The following is a 19,912-nucleotide window of genomic DNA, read 5'->3' as shown; positions in this document are numbered from 1 at the left end:
CTATCACTTTGGGGATTAGGATTCCAACACATGAATCTGGGAGAGACACAAAACATTCAGGCCATAGAAGCTCGTTTCCCATTTATCAGTTTGGATTCTTTCAGGCTGACTACCAAAAATCCTAATTCTGAATACCAGAAAACCTAACTCAGGGGCTCCCACGGCACAATGAATTGATTAATCAGCTCATGTACCTGCCATGTGCAGGGATAGGGTGGACTGCAGGGTGGGTGTGAACCAGCAGCTCAGCAGTATCCTAAACCATCCAGGTTTTTTTTTTTTTTTTTTTTTTTTTTTTTTTAATCTCTCCACTCCTTCCTCCCTGGGTCAGTTCATCCTCAGGCTGGCTTCTGCACCAGACTGGCTCCTGCACCAGGCTGTGGGGAGGCTGGGGGTGTGTAGAGTTCTGGACACTTTGTCAGGGTAGGAGGGAAATAGAACTTGGGAGCCGCAGCTGACATCCACCATACTGTACCACCCATAGAAGTAGAATAATACCTTACTAACTTGGACCAGTCATTGGGGATAATAGTGAGAGGACACTCAACCTTAACTAGTAAAAGTTTGAATCTTCAAGTGTTTTAATGTGGTATAGTGTCAGGCAGGATCTTCCCAAACACATCCTGTTGGAAGCAGTTAGCATCTGTTTTTCAGTATGTCTTAAAACGTACGACCTTCTAGTAGGTTAAATATATCTTCTGAAATCCCGTTTAATTTCTAATTTGCTTATTCAACCTTTTAATAGCCAGAGTAAACACTGAACTCAAATTCTGGGTTGGTGAAGATTAAATTACAGTAATGAGGTTCCTCATTTATAAGCTCATCTATAAAATGGAAATAAGAATAGCACCTACTTTATAGGTTTGCTGTAAGGATTAACTGAGGTGATCTGAGTCAAGCGCTTAGCCCAGTGGATAGCCCAATAAATGTTACCTTTATTAGTGTCATATATTGCCAAATATTGTCACCTTTATGTTTTTATGTGCATGTTTAACTAGAAAATTAATTCTCTTCGTAACAAATATATTATCTGCTGCTGATTAGTTCTGTTAGAGAGGAGGTAAATAAAGGTATTAAAATATTTAGTGTTTATGGATTCTTTTTTTACCGAAGTTTTTTTTTTCTGTTAGAATTCATTTTGGGGGAAGCCTAAATACAGATAAGTTTAAGGAGCATACAACTGAAAATAGATAGAACCTCTAGAATATAGGGATTTTAAAATTTTATGGCAATATGTTCTTATATTCTTAGTTGAAAAATCTCTTAAATAGTTGATGGCCTGTCATGACCTCATGACCTATCCCAGCTGATTTTTGGGGTTTTTTTTGTTGGTTTTTTGGGTGTTTTTTTGAGACGGAGTCTCGCTCTGTCACCAGGCTAGAGTGTTGTGGTGCGATCTCGGCTCACTGCAACCTCCGCCTCCCAGGTTCAAGTGATTCTCCTGCCTGAGCCTCCCGAGTAGCAGGGACTGCAGGCGCACGCCACCGCGCCCAGCTAATTTTTGTATTTTTAGTAGAGATGGGGTTTCACCATGTTGGCCAGGATGGTCTCAATCTCCTGACCTCATAATTCACCCACCTCAGCCTCCCAAAGTGCTGGGATTATAGGCGTGAGCCACTGCACCTAGCGATTTTTTTCCTTATTCTCAGTCTGGAGGCTCTGGAGGGATGAGTGACCCCCGCTTGCCTTTGGTTTCCTGAACCAGCTACACAGTCAGACTGTCCTGGGAGGATGGATGGATTTTCGGATCACTGGGATTGAGTGAGATACTGCAGTACTGAGAAACTAGTCTTGGGCATCCACTTCAGTAGAATTTCAGCTGACAATATGATGAATCATTCCAGAAAGCCTCTGGTGCCACAGGGCTGACCTCTCAGAATCCCAGGAGGGTCAAGCATCTTGATTTGGGGTTCCCAGATTAACGGTGCGGAGAGCACTGGTTGGCACAGGGCCTCCAAAAGCTTTACCACCTGTTCCAGAACCAGGAGGAGGAGGCTTTGACGATGGAGGGGTGAGCATGTAGGGTGCAGCAGGAGAACAGTGTTCCATAGTGGCCAGGAGCTTTGAAGACTACATTCTTCATCCCCACTCCCTGAGTGTTGACTAAAGTTAGACTTCCGTCTTCTGTAGGTTGTTAGTTGCACTTGGGGCTTGCCACCATTTTGATACCTAGATGAGCACTGGTTGACTCCAAATTCCTTGGCTCAGAGAGTGCTGTAAACTAGTGGTTCTCAAATGAAGATTGCCTGGACCCAGAAAGCACTAGGAGAAAAAAAAAAAAAAAAAAAAGCTTTAGGTCATTGACCTAGGGCTCCCAGTCTTTTTTATTTTGCCAAGTTAGGACATTTTAAAAACTCTTAACACTCATCACAAAGCTTTTATGAAAAAACCATCTTGATGCCAAAGTAGTAGGAAAAGATAATATAAGAACAAAACAAAAATCTTTAAATAGAAAACACTCAGCTTTAGGAATAATTTACTACATTGTTCTTATTTTTCTGACATCACCTGTGAAAACTCCACCAAGGGAGGGTGGGCACTGCCCCGCATTTGCCCTCCAGGTGTCAGGTGCCCACCTGGTGATGTGGAGTTAGCTGCTGAATGTGCAACTGTAGGGAAATACACCCTACTTTTTGAAGCCTCACTTGGAGCCTAAGAGTTCTCTAGAGTCATATCTTGATTGGATTTATAAGTTAAAGTTGGGGGAAAATCCATTTTAATACAAGTTTTGATAAACCCAATTTATTTTATAAGGAAGGAGCCGTTTACCCTGCAGTCATTAACTTAGAATTGTTAGTTTAATTTTCCACCAGCAGGAAGAAAATCTTGCAATACCTAAGTAGTTCAAATTAGAAAGTGTGTCAACAGTTTTTCCTTTTCCACTATTTAACCCTAAAAATGATAAATGTCTTCAATTTGATCTGACTTTCAGTTGTATGGTATGCCTCTGTAGGTGGGAAAGGGTGTGTGTGCCAACCCCACCCCCAACCCCCCACATATGCAGAAAACTTGGTTTGATCCCAGGAGCCCCAGAAAGGAAGGGGTGCTTGTGAGAAATGTTGCCGGTAAGTGCTAGTATTAATACTTGTAGCAGTCACTTGCTGGTGTTAGTACTTGTAGCAAAAGTTGCATCTCAGAACTGCCAAAATAGTGTGACTTTTTAAGACGCCTTTTGGAGTCATTAAAAATCCCCAAACATACACCCAACCACCCCTGCCATCCAGAAGCTTAACTAAACATTACTCATTCTGCTTTCATTACACGTCTGCCTGGCTTTGCCACAAACACACTTTGCCTTCCAGTCAGGATTAAGCTTCTGTGTTAGGCCATGACTGGTGTGAAAGTAACCCCTCTGTCCTTGTTGACTGGGACAGAAAGACTGCTCGCTCGCCCGTGTGAAATTGTGAATGGAATCATGGAATCCTGGAGCCAAAGCAAGTTGGTTGCCTTCCTGCAGGACTATCCTAATGCTCATCACCTTGACTGGCAAAAGGTGTCCTAATTCTAACGTTTCATGGGTCTCCTGTAAACAAGGACGTGATCTCAGATGTGGCTTTCTCAATAAAAAGAAGACCATTCTGTGGCACACTAACACCTACAGTTATTGTCTGTTAACCGCATTCTTAGGCAAAGCGTTACCGTTTGAGTCCTTCTAGTAGCCTCATCTGTGCTCGTATGCTTATATGGCACAGTTCTTGCATGTTCTAGCAGACACTGGATTTTTTTTTTTTTTTTTTTTTTTTTGAGACAGAGTCTTACTCTTTTGCCCAGGCTGGAGTGCAGTGGTGCAGTCTTGGCTCACTCCAACCTCTGCCTCCTGGGATCAAGCGATTCTCCTGCCTCAGCCTCCTGAGTAGCTGGGATTACAGGCACGCACCACCATGCCTGGCTAATTTTTGTATTTTTAGTGGAAACAGGGTTTCACCATGTTGGTCAGGCTGGTCTCGAACTCCTGACCTCGTGGTCCATCTGCCTCGGCCTCCCAAAATGCTGGGATTACAGGCGTGAGTCACCGCACCCAGCCAACATTGGGTCTTAATTTGTTCAGACCCCTTACCACTGGTTTCTCTCAAGGCATATCTTGCTCCACGGCAGACGACATTGTGCTTTTTGACAGACATTACCACAACATTCTTGTCTTAGCTCAGGCTGCCATAACAAAATACCATAAAGTGGGTTGCTTAAACAATAGAAATTTATGGGCCGGGCGCAATGGCTCACACCTGTAATCCCAGCACTTTGGGAGGCTGAGGTGAGTGGATCACGAGGTCAGGAGTTTGAGACCAGCCTGGCCAACATGGCAAAACCACGTCTCTAAAAATACAGAAAAATTAGCCAGGTGTGGTGGCAGGCACCTGTAATCCCAGCTACTCGGGAGGCTGAGGCAAGAGAATCGCTTGAACCCGGGAGATGAAGGCTGCAGTGAGCCGAGACTGTGCCACTGCACTCCAGCCTGGGCAACAAGAGCAAGACTCCATCTTAAAAATAAATAAATAAATAAAAATTATTTTTCACAGCTCTGGAGGCTGGGAAGTCCAAGATCAAGGTGCTCAGCAAGGTAAGTTTTATTCTGAGGCCTCTTCTCTTGGCTTGTGAGTGAGAGCCATCTTGCTGTGTGCTCACCTGATCTCTTCCTTGTGCACTCAGAGACAGGAATCTCCTCTTCCTCTTCTTATAAGATCACCCATCCCATCGTGGGAGCTTCACTCTCTTCACCTTACCTAAACTTAATTATCTCTCAAAGACCTCATCTCCGAATGGCATCCCATTGGGGTTTAGGGCTTCAACATAGGAATTTGGGGGAAGAGAAACATTCAGTCCGAAACAACTCTTGAGTCTTTATTTGTGGTGCCTGTGAAGTGCTTATAGGGTCACTGGTCCAGGGGCCCTGCAGTACAGAAAGCCTTAGAGCGACAAGTGTTCCTTGTTGTGGAAGAGGGGAAGCATCCTAGGCTGCAGATGGCACAATAAAATGGGAAGTTGGAAGACCTTTACCACAGAGCTGGAGGTGACCTGGGGCTAGACAGAGGTTCTCCTTGTCTCTCCAGGTCTCAGCTTTCCTAGTTCCGAATGTCAGTGGTAAAGTTGTGGTTGCCAACTTGGTCAGCCTCAATGAAATTTGAATGGTTCAACACATCCAATATTCCATGATCACCTTCTATAACCTTCATGTGCCTCTTAAAAGGAGGCTCTTGGAACCAAAGCCTGGGAAAATGTGTTTTTTTCTGAACACTTTATCATCTTGGGCATTTACTCCCTTTTCATGGGGGAAAGAATGGCCATAAATTATAATAGAGCTGTTCCATTTGAGATCAGTATCTTACATGTCATTCTAAATGTATACTAACATGGTAATGTCCACGTGGACACACACACACTCATACACCCCTGTGCCAGGTGGAATATTTTAAGATATAAAAAGGCCTTTGAAAATCCTTTTAAACTCTCAAGGAACAGATAATTCCTATGTTATATAAACTGTTGCGGGATTGAGAAAAAAGATGGAAAACTTCCAGATCCTTCTTTCAAGCAAGCAAGGCCCTGATATCAAAACAGGCAAGTCCCCAGAGGGAGGATCTATACCAGTCTCACTTAGGAATGTAAAAGTTTTAAATAAAATTCTAGCGAGTAGATTTCAACAATAGAGTATGTGAATGTTCTACCATAACCAAATAGATTATATTCCTGGAATGCAGGAATAGCTTCATATACATATATTTTCCTATGGTTCATATAAGTTGTTCAAATAAAGATATGTAATAACCTCATTAATTCCAAAAGTGTATTCAATCAGTTTTTAAGTTTTTATATACCACTTTAAGAGGAATATATAAAGTGACCAATCTTTAATATTATAAGGAATATCAGGTTCATGCAGCCCACTGCCGCTATATACTTACTGGTGAAACAATAAAGGCATCACTCGTTACCTCTTCAAGTTTTAGTCAATGCAGAGAGTCATAAAATAGTAACTTGGAGAATAAATATTATAAAGAAAAATGACAAAGTTATTATTAACTACAGATTGCTTAGTTGTAGATGAAGAAGACTTAAAGAGTTTTACTAAAAACCCTATTTCTAGATAATGAGCTTGAAACTAAGGATTTGGATTCTTCTCAAATTAGTTCATGAGTCTAGTACCATTCCTCTGAAAGTCCCATCAGGATGTTTTAAATTTCACAAGATGTTTCTATGTCTGCTTGGAAAAATAAATAGATGAGAACATCGGGGGAATTCTGAAAGTGGTTTTGGGGAAAGGGAGTTAGATCTATTGGATATTAAAATATATAGCACTATGAGGTATTAAAATGCAATATAAAGTCTTTGTAATTAAAATACTGTGGTGCTGTCATAAAAGGAGGAAGTAGATTAGTGAACTAGGATAGTTCAGAAATAGACCCTTGCATAAATAATTTAATAAATCATAAAGCAGTCATCACAAATCAGTGGGGAAGGAAAAATTATTCAATAAATAATTCTGATGCCTCATTAACAATTTGGGAAAAATCATTTTGGCTTCACCAAAATGAATTACAGATGGATTAAACAATTAAAGTGCAAAATGTAGAGGCATAGGAAATCTATAGCATTGAATATTACTTAGAAACAAAAGAAAAGCATTCAAAAAGGAAAAGAATAGTCAATCAAACTACAGGAAAATGAAGCGTTTATGTGAAAAAAAAAAAGGGAAACAACAGACTGGGGAAAGACTGGCAATAATATGACAGAATTAATCTTTACACTGCAAAGTGCTCAAATTAAAAAGAAAAGTACTAAACCTTGTTAGAACACTTGAGTAGATAACTAAATACAACACTAAACAAATATATAGAAAATGTACAAATTCAGCAGTAATAAGAAATATGCCCTCTCATGGCTCTGCAGGCTGCATCTGGACCCTTCCCCCAAGCACTGACACAATCACCCTCCAAGGCAGCTGGATCCAAACCCCAATCCCACCCATGCCTCACAAAGGGCCTCTGGCCACATTCCAGCTCTTACACTGAGACCCCTGAAGATCTTCATCCAAGCTGGTAATGGGTACATATATTCTAGCTACTTTTGTGTACGTTTGAAATTTTTCACAATCAAACATAAAAAAATTAAAGTAATACATATCCATTGTTGAAAGCTTATAAAATATAGCAAATATATAATTCCAGAACTACCATCACGATTTTTATTAAAATCCTCCCATAATCTTTTCTTATGCATTTATAACTATGTTTATATGTATACACGCACACACACATTTTTTAAACAATAAAGAAATTATACTACTTGAATTGCTTTATAGCCTGCTTTTTTACCTTATGAGCATTTTTATGCTTTGTTCATTTAGATCTTCAGCATAATTTTAATGTCTGTACATTGTTTCAGTACATGAATACACAAACACACATATATCATAATGTATTTAACCAGCTCCTTACAGATAGATAGCTGAGTTGTCTTTTTTTTTCGTTTGTTTGTTTTTGTTTTTTGAGGTGGAGTTTCACACTTGTTGCCCAGGCTAGAGTGCAATGGCGCGATATTGGTTCACTGCAGCCTCCACCTCCTGGGTTCAAGTGATTCTCCTGCCTCAACCTCCTGAGTAGCTGGGATTGTAGGCACCCGCCACCACGCCTAGCTGATTTTTTATAATTTTACTAAAGAGAGCGTTCCACCATGTTGGCCAGGCTGGTCTCAAACTCCTGTCCTCAGATGATCCATGCGCCTCGCCCTCCCAAAGTGCTGGGATTTCGGGAGTGAGCCACCACACCCGGCCCTGAGTTGTTTTTTTTTTCCATCTTCCTATTCAAACAACTCTGGTGTATACTTTGCATACTTGTTTAATTATTTCTTTCAACAAATATCTAGAAAATCAAAGGGGGTTTTGGTTGTTTTTTGTTTGTGTTTTTTGAAATGGAGTCTCATTCTGTCGCCCAGGCCAAGGTGCAGTGGTGTGATCACAGCTCACTGCAGCCTCGAACTCCTGGGCTCAAGCCCAGCCTCCCAAGTAGCTAGGACTACAAAGTGATGAGTTTACAGGTTTGAGTCACTGCACCCTGCCTGGGAAAGCTAAGGCATTTTTTTCCTGTTGTCATGCCAAATTACTCATTGGAATTATGATACAATTTTAAACTCCTTTTTTCAGTGTATATGATTACCCATTTCACGATAATCTTAGCAATGTTGGATCCTATATTCACAATATTTTAAATGTATAAATCTGATAAAGAGATAAAGATGATCTCATTTTCATTTGCATGTATTTGATTATTAATGAGTTTGAAAATCTTTTTATATATCATTTACGTTTCATATTTTATAACTAAGTGATTATGTCTTTCCCCCCCAGTTATTATATTTATCTCTCACTTAATTGGCTCACAAGGGCTCTTTACATATTAAAGGATTCTAACCTTGGTTCATTTTTGTACAATCATTTGTCCAGAATTGTTTAAGTAGATCTTGCTAAAGGTTGTACGTCTAGATTTTTTTTCCTTTGAGCCCTTGTAATTTTCTACATTTTAATGTTTGTAACCATATTCACTATTTTAAGATTTCACCATATAACACTGCTACCTAAAGTCTGCTTTTTTATTTCAGTAACTTTTTGGTTACCAAATAAGATATGTTTGTGGTCAAATCAAATACATTTTAAAAATATACCTATAATTTGACTAACATACAGTGCATCAGATAAAATTTGGTTGTTTTCCTTTCAGTAGTTTTTCTGTGTGTGCATATTAAGGTAACACTAGCTGAGGAAACCATTAAAGCACGAAATTATGAGGCTGGATGCAGTGGCTCACGCCTGTAATCCGAGCACTTTGGCAAGTCGAGGCTAGAGGATGGCTTGAGCCCAAGAGTTCAAGACCAGCCTGGGCAACATGGCAAAACCCCATCTCCATAAAAAATTAGCCAGGCATGGGTGTGTGCCTGTGGTCCCAGCTACCCAGGAGGCTGAGGTGGGAGGACCACCTGAGCCTGGGAGGTTGAGGCTTCAGGGAGCCATGATCATGCCACTGTACTCCAGCCTGTGTGACAGAGTTGGGACCCTGTCTCAAAAACAACAACAACAACAACACCCGCACCAAATTATGGCTTAACACAATAGAGTTTATTTCTCACTCAGTCCAACATAGGTGTTTCAGACTGGTGGTCACTCCACCGGTGGAGCCCTGCCCTGAGTGATTCAGCAGCCCAGGCCCCTTCCATTGGTTGCTCTTCCATTCCCTAGGGTCTTGGAGTCCCCTGTGTCTGTTTGGCAGATGGAGGAAGAGAGCACGGAGAAGGCACATCACTTTCCACCTCCCTCAGCCTAGAAGTGCTCAAATCACTTTCCATTCCATTGGTGGGAGTAGTTATATGGCACCACCTAGATACAAGGGGTGCTGGGGCATGTAGCCCCTGACTGAGCAGCTGCTTCTTGCTGAAAATCCCACACTCTGGAAAGAGAAGCATAAATATTTGTTGGACATTTAGCTGAATCTGCCAGAAGATACTGTATTTATAAAGCACATGATCTATATAATGCATATGCTATATATTTTTCTTCACAAAATAGAACCATCCTATTAATAGCTTTGAGTTTTAGCATAATTTTGTGAACATTTCCCTGTGTCTTTAAATCTTTTTCAAAAACATGAGTTTTAAAGCCGACATATTATTCCTTGTATTGATGTATCATTTCTTTATTTTTCTATTACAGTACCATTGGATTTTTCTAGATTTTTATTAGTATGAATATTGCTGCTATAAATGTCTCTGCACATAAATCTTGGAGTATTCCTCTGATTATTTCATCAGGGAATATTCTTGGGAGTGAACTCAGTATTAAGGCTAGTGATCCATATCACCAGATGGCCCTTCAGAAATGTGGACTAATTTACAGTCATCAGTAGCATCTGAGGATTTCTATTTCAGGGCATCCTTGACTATCGTGAACATTATAGTTGTTTCAGTTTTTGCCAATTTGATCGTTGAAAATAGTATCGTGTTGTTTCAGTTTGCAAGCTTTGCTTACTAATGCATTTGAACATTTTTCATGAGGCCATCAGTAATCTGTGTGTGTGTGTGTGTGTTTGTGTGTGTGAGAGAGAGGGAGAGAGTGAGAGAGAGAGAATTGCCTCTTTGGGTCTTTTCTCATTTTTATTTTGCAGTGCTCCATCTTTTGAAAAATCATGTACAAGGGATTTTTATGCGGTGTGTGTATTCACTTGTCATATGTTGCAAGTGTTCTTATCTAGCTTATTTTCATGTTTTTGCTTCATAACCTCATTTTCTTAGGTTAAACTCTGCAGTTGGAGCCCCGATGTGTGGTATTATACCCATTGAGTCTGCCCAGTTAACAGTACTCCTGAGATTAATAACATTTTAAAACGCAAACCAGACTCTTTTTCCTGACCTGTCATAGGGTTTGAATGTCCTTAATGTGAATTTTTGTTACCTGGGAGTGAGGGGGTTTAAACTCGTCATCAAGAAGATGGACTTGACAGGAAGGATTTGGGGCACTGGTCTAAGTTATCCATGGAGATAGTGAGATCAGCTTCTCCATGCCCCTTTCCTTCCCTAGGAACTTCAGAGAGGCAGAGAGGCAGGCTGAGAGGTGGCATCTGATGACTCCATGCTTTAACCAAGTGAGTAATAGCGGGGCCTCAGGGGCCATCTGGCCATTTTTCGTGTTAGAGCTTATAAAGAACACATGTGTTGGAGCATCAGGGACACAAACTGTGGCGCAGGGAAATTAAATGTAGTTTTAGCTCTGTCACTAACTAACTGACCATGTGACCCGAAGCAAATCACATGTTCACTCTGGGCCTCATTTACTCATCTGCAAAACGTGAGGGCTTGTTCTAGGTGGATGTGTTGGATGAGTGAATTCCAGAGCTGTGCAGTGGGCTTCTCAGTGAGGCCTCTTTTGCATTCACTGACTGCACTGACCTGCGTCGGGTGGGTGGTCAAGGAGCAGGGAGAAGTCTAGTCCCTTTGGTCTCCCAAATGATTTATGAAAGAAATCAATCTAGTATGTATCTGTTCCAGATAGAATGCAATCTAAATATGATAGTCCACTAATAAGATTAGGTGAATCTAATACGATTTTCCTCTAAAACACAAATACTGCACCACTTTTAATTGTAGTAGCCAAATTAAATTACTCATCCCAAATTAGATTTTCAGCAAACTTAATTTGAACATGAGCTCAGTACTGCAGGACCTGAGTAATTTTTTAAGATATAAAATAAATCAGTGGGATATTGGTATTGTTCCTCTGGGCTCTTCGGCGGTTACCATGAAAGAGAATAGGTAAACATCTGGAGAAAACAGGCAGAAGCAGAGCTGAGATAGACACTAATTCTTTGGCTTACCATTGAAGGGTTTTACCCCCTCCATCACTGTGACCCTCCCTGGTCTTAGAAGATAGGAAGCAAATAAAGGCAGACCCAGTAATCACTTTGGTTTTATTGCTTATGATTGTCTTTCTTCTTTTTGTTCCTTGAGTGATCTTTTTCATATCTTCACCTCCTTCAGGACACCAGGTAGGAAATGGTTCACTGGGTAGCTTATGGAGCCACAGGTTTCGTGAGGAGTTAGAAGGGTTTATAGCATTACTTTAACCATATTTTCATTCATTCCCTATCAGTTAGTTGATTACCTGAAAACCAACCCAGACTGGTTCAAGCAGAAGAAGAAAATGTATTGGCCTATGTGGTTGAACAATCTAGGGGTAGATTCCGGCCTCAGGTGAGGCTTTACCCAGGGCTCAGCTGAGATGCCCCAAAACCAGTTTTTCCAGTGGAAAAAAAAAAAGACAGCTTCCTTGATGGGCCACCCAAAGGTCTGGAATTGAGTTTAGTTGCCCCTGACTGGGTTCCCTTGGCCCCTGTGCTCCCCTGAAACAGTTACTGTCTGAGAGGATTGGACAAATTGAGAGATTCAGAAGACTCTTGGGAAAGTAGACAGGGTAGTTAGTGAAGCTGGGGAAGTAGGTACCTCCAAATCCTCACGGTGCATTATACAGAGCCTTCTGCAGTTCCAAGCACTTAGGCTTACACTACCTCATTTCAACTATAAATGACCCTGAGAGATAGATAGGACATGTTCATGGATGCGGAAGTAAAGGTGGGATCAACTTACTCAAGACTTTGCAGTGGTGGAGCTGGGACCAGACTCACTATCTCGTGAGTCTTCCACTTCTTTTCACTGTATCCTGCCTTCCTTCTAACTAATCTTTCCCACTGCTCCCTCCCTTCCATTCCTTTAGCACCATTGCAGTGTTCTTCATTAAATAGTCAGTCAATGGTTGTTAACTTGTTATTGAGTGACCAGTGTACCATTAGACCAAAGGTGGCCTTTCTGCTCATACTTAGTGAATATCATTATAGCAAAAACCAATGTGGTCGATTCCCAGTTATTAATACGTGGATCGTCCCCGGTAATTCAGTTTCTCTTTCTCTGAGTTATGGAGTGTTCTTCTAACAGAAGGATGAAATTTGTTTAGCTTGAGGGTAGACCTGTAAAGAGGAGCCAGGGAGGCCAGGCACGATGGCTCACGCCTGTAATCCCAGCACTTTGGGAGGTCAAGGCAGGTGGATCACCTGAGGTCAGGAGTTCGGGACCAGCCTGGCCAACATGGTGAAACTCCGTCTCGACTAAAAATAAAAAATTAGCTGGGCATGGTGGCGCATGGCTGTAATCCCAGCTACTTGGGAGGCTGAGGCAGAAGAATCGCTTGAACCCAGGAGACAAAGGTTGCAGTGAGCTGAGATTGTGCCACTGCACTCCAGCCTAGATGACAGAGTGAGACTCCATCTCAAAAAAGAAAGAAAAAGAAGAAAAAGAAAAAAGAAAAAAAGAGCCAGGGAAGTATGGGTGTGTGTGTGTATGTGTGTGTGTGTATGTTTATACAGACGTGCACACTGACTTGCATTACAGGGTTAAGTATGTTTCAATTCCCCACCTTCATAGTGTGGACAGCTGAAGTTAGATTTGATGCCCATCTTTCTATTCCAGTGTAACTCACATTTGTGAAGGTCACTATTGGCAAGGTTCCTATTTACTCAAGCCAAAGATGCGTGGATAGGTGTGCCATTTAGAAACACTTTCAGTAATAACTATACATTCACCTTTGATTTTTGAGAAAAATCACAGATACCTGTTATGTTCTTCCTGCCTGGAAAATGCTCCCCGTTCGGTATTACTTCTCAGGTTTTACCTCCGCTCCCTCTGGGAAGCTCTGCAGACTTTGTCCAGCTCTGTTGCTCCTTGTGCTGAAGTTCTGTGTCCCACAGTTAGCTCTTCACCATACCTGGTGGTTTGCGAATTGCTTTATTTGTGGGGGTTTTATCTCCTTGATCATTTGGTTCACTCTTTGAGGTCAGGGCTTGGTCTTACCGCTTTTCTTTTGTTTTTAGTCCTCCACAGCACATACTGCCATGCGAAGGAGAAGCGGTGATCAGTTGGTATTTGCCTCGGTGGCTGGGGCGGTTGCTGTCCTGAGGTCTCCGACATGACCAGCATTTATACATGGTTTTGCAGTTGTTCCATTACTTATCTACATTCTCTCAGTACAGTTCTTGGCACATATTAAGAGGAAAGTAAATATGTGTTGAATAATTGAATGATTCTCACCTCTACACCATCCTTGCCCACACCTCCACTCCCTCTCCCCATCAACTGAACCATAAATTCTTGGAAGGCATAGATTGTGTCTTATTGTGCTTTGTGTTCTGAATCTTGCCTAACAAACTTTCTGCCACATAGTAAATGCTCAGTAAATCCTCGTTGAATGAACAGATTATGTGGGTGGAGTACTCTCTTAGAGCCTGCCTTTGGGAGAGGTGGGTGGGAACTGAAGCTCTAAGAAGGAAGAGGGAGATGGAGAATGAATGGAGATGGCTTCAAGAGCTGAGTGTGCCAACCCCTCCAGCTTCTTCTGATTTCCAAGTTTGTTACAGATAAGGTGCTTATTTCTCCAAGAGGGATACATGGGGTCCTCTCCCAACTGGATGGCTGATAAGCTCGTGTCTGTGAAACAGTGGAATAAAGGATAGTGGCTGTGATTCTAGGTTTTATTTTAAGAACAGCAATAAAGCATTTTATTCTACCTGAGCCCCTTTGGAAACCTCCATGGTTGAGATGAGAGGATACAAGCCAGGAGGACAGCAGGAAGGACACAGTAGTCACCTCCCTGGGTTGACCACTTCTTCCTTTCCATTGGCCCCAGGGGTGCTAACGAGCAATGACAGTTCCACAAAGGATGGGAGAAAGAGTACCCAGTTATCAGGCAACTTCATAGCATCCCTGAGGATGGTATGGCTGGGTTGACCAACTCGTCCTGGTTTGCTTGGGACTGTCCTGGTTTTAGTATGAAAGTCCTGAGTTCTAGGATGGTTGGTCTCTTTAGATGCCACTTGCTCTCTTTTCTGCCCCCTGCAAAGCCATCTTTTGAAATTCCTTTTCCCTTTGCAATGTCCTTGACTTGGCCTCTTTCCTCCTCTTTCTGCCTTCTCCACTGCTTCTACCTGAGCCTTGCTTGCATTTCTAATAGAGGCCTTTCTAGAGCATTGCTCTGGATCGCTGTGGATTGACCAGAGTTCTTGGAGCTGGACATAGATGCACATGCTTCTCTTCCTCTCTGGCTCTGGTTGGCTCCTGAAATCAACTGAGATGTGAAAGCTTCTGTCACAGAGAGTTAGAATTCATCTGCCTTCAGGGGGAGTCGGCCCCCTGTGCAGGAGGCTGTTTGTGCACACGTGGTGCTCAGTAAGTGGGCAACCGATTAACTGGTCAAAGCAGCACCCCCTGCCTGGAAGGCAGGGGCAGGGGAATCGGTAGTGGCTGGGGTGGCTCTGCCCACAGTCCTGAGGTGACAGGTGCTGAGGTCCACCTCCTGTCTCCAACCTCAGCACCCTGGTCTGCTGCTGGCTCAGCCTGAGCATGAGCCCACCCTCTTCCTCGCAGCCTTCTTGCCCACACTTACCTCATTTTTCTTAGAACTCTCATTACACATATAGTAAGCACTGTGCCGTTAAGGGAGTGCAATTGTTTTCTTCCTTGTTTCTTGTGTGTTAGTCCTTCTCTGAAGGCTGACTTTATCTTTTGTTTCCTTTTTTTCCACCTCATAGCACCTGCCCATGCTGGGCCCAGAGTTGGCCCTCACTGGATGCATATTGTTGATTAATGGCACCTCGGTGATTTACAGGTGACAGGGGATGTGTAAGTCACTGGGTTGGTTTCCTATGGGCACCTGTATACAGAATATGCTGTCAGAATGGAGAAGGAGGGCAGGAATCAAGACGGTGCCCCAAGCCAGGCCTAGGATCTTGGGTGGAATTCAGTTATCCTGACTTCCAGTTTAATACTGGCATGGGAGAATGAGGCTTTTTATGCAAAGTGGATTTTTAGTTGCAAAAGACTGCACTTTATGTATTAGTTTAGCTTTACATTTTCTGGAACATTCTAATATAATTTAAAAACAAACACAGAGGATTAAATAATTCCAAGACTGCTCTGGAGAGGCAGTGAAATAGCTTTTGGTTTTTAGAATTTTCCTTTTTTGGAGGAGTTCTGAAGGAGGTGCTGCTGAGTCCTAGGCCTGTGTAAACCTCATTCTGTTATTTCTCTCAGCATTGCCGGTCTGTGAGTGAAGAAGCTGCACCAGCCTGCTGTTGGGAAGGTGGGTAAGCTGTCACTGGGCCTCACCTCTTGCTCGGGTCCTCTGTAACCAATGTATGCTTCTCCCGTGTGTGTGTATGTGTGTGTGTGCACATGCACAAATGTGTTTGCTTTCCAATGTAATTGCTTTACAAACTTACAGGAATAGTACATAGTGTTTGTAAAACATTTAGAAAGAAGTTAAAATTGTCTTTGCTCCTGCCTTTTGGAAAGAACCACAATGAACATTTTCATGTGTAGCTTTCTAGACATTTTTTTCTGTCCACTCACACATGCTCAGACACAGTAATGCATTTACAGAGATGAAATCATTATATATAGAATTTAGAGGCAGGCCTGCCTTCTTTTGCCTAACAATATATTATGGACATTTTCTCCATGATAATATAGGTTCACTTGCTCACTCATTCAGCAAATACCACATGCTTACCACGTGTCCAGCACTGTCCTGGGTGCTGAAGATATAGCAATGAACAAAACAGAGAAGATTCCCTGCCCTCATGGAACCTGTAATCTAGTTGGGCTAGACATGCAGTAACAAATAAGTACAATATGTAGAAGGTTAGAAGGTAATAAGTGCTGTGGGAAAAAAATAAGACAAAGAAGGTGGGTAGGGTGCATTTTGCAGTTTTCATCCAGGTGGTCAGGTGAAGTGGCAGCCTTTGAGCAAGCATCTGGTGGGGGGCTGTGACATTTAGCAAGCAGCATGTCCTGCCAAGGTGACTGCTTGGGTTGATCTGCAGTTGGGGCTGGAGGAGATATCCTAGCAGAGTCTTAGTAGCACTGGGCAGGAACCGCCCAGATGCCTTGTGGTAGAAAAGATGGCCCGGGCTTGAGCACTCAAGCATTTTCCTGTGTTAGTTGTTAACAGTAATGATCACCACCATTTATATACCATATTACAGTTTCCAAAGCAGCTTTTTACCTATCCTCCTGACCTCGTTGCTTACTAGCTACACGGTTTTGGGTAAATAACTCATCTTCTCTGGGCCTCAGTTTCCTCATTTACAAAATAATAGGATTTTTGTACAGCTGAAATGAGTTAATGGAAGTGATATGCATAGAGCAGTGCTGGTCAGAGCTCAGAAAGTTCAGCTGTTATTATGACTGCCTTTCCGTTACTACTGGCACCTGACCTGCGAAGAGGACATTCTGCTCAGTTTAGAGATGAGGAAGCTGAGGCTTGGGGAGTTTAACAGCACTAGTTAACAAGTTTGGAACAATAGTGGGGGCATGGAGCAGGGTCTCCAGTCTGGCCTTGAGACTCCAAGCAGTTCGGTCCTTGGGAGCACCTGCCTTTCTCCAGGTGAACGCAGCTCCTTCTCCTTCAGGTGGGATGCCCAGGAAGCGTTGGCCTCCAATTCCATGCAGTGCCTTCCTGCCTGCTCTGTCGGCCTGGGGCCAAGGGATGGTTGGGGCAGGAATAAGGAAGGATATGGCTGAAGCTTCCACAGGCAAGAACTGAGGCTCAGCAGCTCTGCTGGCCTCCCCACGCGGTCAGTTATGCGTCAGTCCGTCTTCCTCCCCCTACCCTCTTAGCACTGTAGGTGCCAGCTTATAAAGATCCTGCTTACAGGCTCAGAGAAGAACAAGACAATTTGTGACTTTTCTAGTTTTACATTTCTGACTTTGAGAAATACCCCTATCCTCATGTCTGTAGTAGATTGTTGAAAAACAGCACCACCACAAACACATACAACCAAACCCCATACCTGTTATCACTTGCCTCCTTCCAGAAGTTCTCTTGGCTGCAGCCTCACAGCTCACTCAGGCTTGTGCACATACGCTCTGTCCTTAGGATAACACACTTCAAAGGACCTGTGGCCTGAAGGGGGTTGGGAGGACCAGTGTCTAGAGTCAGTTCTCCTCCGAGGTCAGCAGGCTCCCCCTACAACCTCATAGAGCAGCGCGACACCAGGTATACCTTTTGTGTAGTTCTCTGAAATGGATCTCAGAGTGCATGTCACCGTGGAAACCATCTTATAAATGGTGGCTACATAGAGTTAAAATAACACTGTTAGTTTTATGCGGCAGGTACATTATGAGTTCAGAAGGCTTTTGTGGGCTGACCTGGGAGTCTAACCCTCATTTTAAATATGGTTTCTTGTGGCTACATGCTATCAGCATTTTAAAGAAATTACTTTTAAGCAAACCTTTAGAGCGAGTTGTTTGTAACTGGGAAATTGGCAGTCTATAATTTATATTATGTTTTCTTACCATCTTGTGGGTTTCTCATATCCCAGGACTCTCCAGATGGAGTGTAAGCTCCTGGGAGGCCCAGTGACAGATGGATGGAGTTGTGGCTCAACAGTAACAGGCTCAGAAATGGCATCAGGGTGTTGATATGAGTCAATGTGAGGTGGGGCAGCCAGATACTATAGCAGAGCATAGAATCCACCAGGAACAAGGTGACTGGTGTGGGAGCCATGTGTGAGTACCTGGCCCCAGAGAGGCCTTGGATGGGTCATTAGATTAGGATGGCATGCCAACTTTAAACCAAATCATGTGAGTAACAGTTGGAGAAATTGGGCCTAGAAAAGAGAAGACTTGGGAGCAATTTAATAACTGTGCTTCGTCACTTGAGGGGCCACCATGTGGTTTCCAAAAAAGAGACTGACGAGAGAGACATGTTAGTAACTTCAAGGAAAGAGTTTTACAGCCAAGACTGTTGAAGACAGGAAGAACTGCTTTATGAGACAGTGAGTCCCCATCATTAGAGGTATGCAAGGAGAGCTGGCTAGCCACTTGTGGATAACACTGTAGAAGGGATTTAAGCACTGTATGGATGATTAGGCTAGACTTTGACAGCATTTTCTTTTCTTTTCTTTTCTTTTTTTTTGAGCCTGGAGCTTCTGTGATTCTCAGGCATAGTTAGAAAATAGATTTAATTTCCCAGGCCTCCTGTTCAGGGTGATTAATAGTGGCTGCCTGGAACAGAGGTGAGAAGGATGTGGGACTCTTGGGTCTACTAGCAATGTCTGCCATGAGTAGGGGCTGGAGTTGCAGGATACCCACTATTTGCCATCTCCTTTACAGTGGAGATTGTCCAGTGGTGACCTTTGACCCCAGGTCAAGCCAAAGTATAGGGTGACCAACCACCCTAGTTTGCCTAGGGCTGAGGGAGTTCCTGGGACATGGTCTTTCAACTTTAAAACCAAGACAATCCCAGGAAAGCTAGGATGAACTGAATGCCCTAAGCGGAAGGGACAGTCATCAGCAACTGCGTGTTGGGCTTTCATTTCTGCTCAGGACAGTGGGAATCTTTACCTCCTCAGAGCACTGGCATGGGCCTCTGCCCTCAGGGGGAGCCCAGTAGACACATGCAGAATAAATGAGTTGGATGCAGTTCCTGGAAAATGGTTGCAGTATCCTTGCAATTAATTAATTTGTTTAATTAAGTAAAATGATTTCACTAATTATATGTACAGGAGATTGCACATTTCATTAAGCCGAGCAGATGGCTCTACTAATAATTACCAAAGCCTGGGATTGTGGGAGGGGAATGTCTATGTATGACTTGATATTGAACATTCATTATGCCATCCTTCTTACAAAGGAAGTTGAGACTCCTACCCCATCACATCCAACATGAACTGATGAAGAAATGTTTAGTGTTCTTGTAGTAGTGCCAGTGGATTATGGTAACTTGCCCTTTGGGACTGCTGGTCATTTTTTTTCGTGAAACAACTGGCAAGTAAAGGCTGTGGGCTCCATGGCTTTGGAAGAGGGAGCCATGCTAGGGGTAGACCTGGGGCCTTGGCATCATTCAGACCTTTGCTAACCCACTGAATTGTGATAGTAGGCCAAGTCTCCCAGAAAAAGAACAGGCACCCATCTCTGAGGTAAACATACCTTCCTGGGTTGCATTGTCCAAAACCTTGCTCTACGCCTGCTCCCTCCTGTTCCCGGGGCCTTAGACTCCGGGGCAGACCCATGAACAGATCCTCGGCAGAATGAAAATCCTTAGCAGACATACACACAGACCACCCAGTGCCTGTACTTTGGTGTGATTCAGCTGTCACAGAGTTGAATGTGATTCTTGAGTGTTTTCACTATGGTGATAAGAATGATGCTCATTGATATTTGGCCAGTACTGAGGATCTTGTTTGGGCCAGAAACTTCTTACAGTTATTTGTAATCCTTGAAACACCCTTGCAGGGCAGGTATTAATCTACAGATGAGATGGCCGAGGCTTGGAAGAGTTAAGTAATATGCTTAACATCACACAGAGCGGGGTTCAAACCTAGAG

At 42.9% G+C, this 19,912-nt stretch overlaps 1 protein-coding gene across 52 annotated transcripts in view; it reads left to right on the top strand.

Moving 5' to 3' along the window:
- Positions 1-19,912, top strand: part of TRERF1 (transcriptional regulating factor 1) — a 227,294-nt gene that overhangs the window by 91,152 nt on the left and 116,230 nt on the right. For 3 of the 52 annotated variants that reach the window (XM_047419055.1, XM_047419054.1, XM_047419045.1), the window contains exon 4: positions 15,616-15,664. The exons of the other annotated variants lie outside the window; for them this stretch is intronic. The gene's annotated coding sequence lies outside the window, so the exon portion shown is untranslated. The remainder of the gene's footprint in view (positions 1-15,615; positions 15,665-19,912) is intronic. 52 annotated transcript variants of the gene reach the window in all.

This window comes from Homo sapiens, chromosome 6, assembly GCF_000001405.40.
Source record: "Homo sapiens chromosome 6, GRCh38.p14 Primary Assembly".
Classification (NCBI taxonomy): domain Eukaryota; kingdom Metazoa; phylum Chordata; class Mammalia; order Primates; family Hominidae; genus Homo; species Homo sapiens.
Note: the sequence above shows the minus strand (reverse complement) of the source record. Positions and strands in the feature narration are given on the sequence as shown.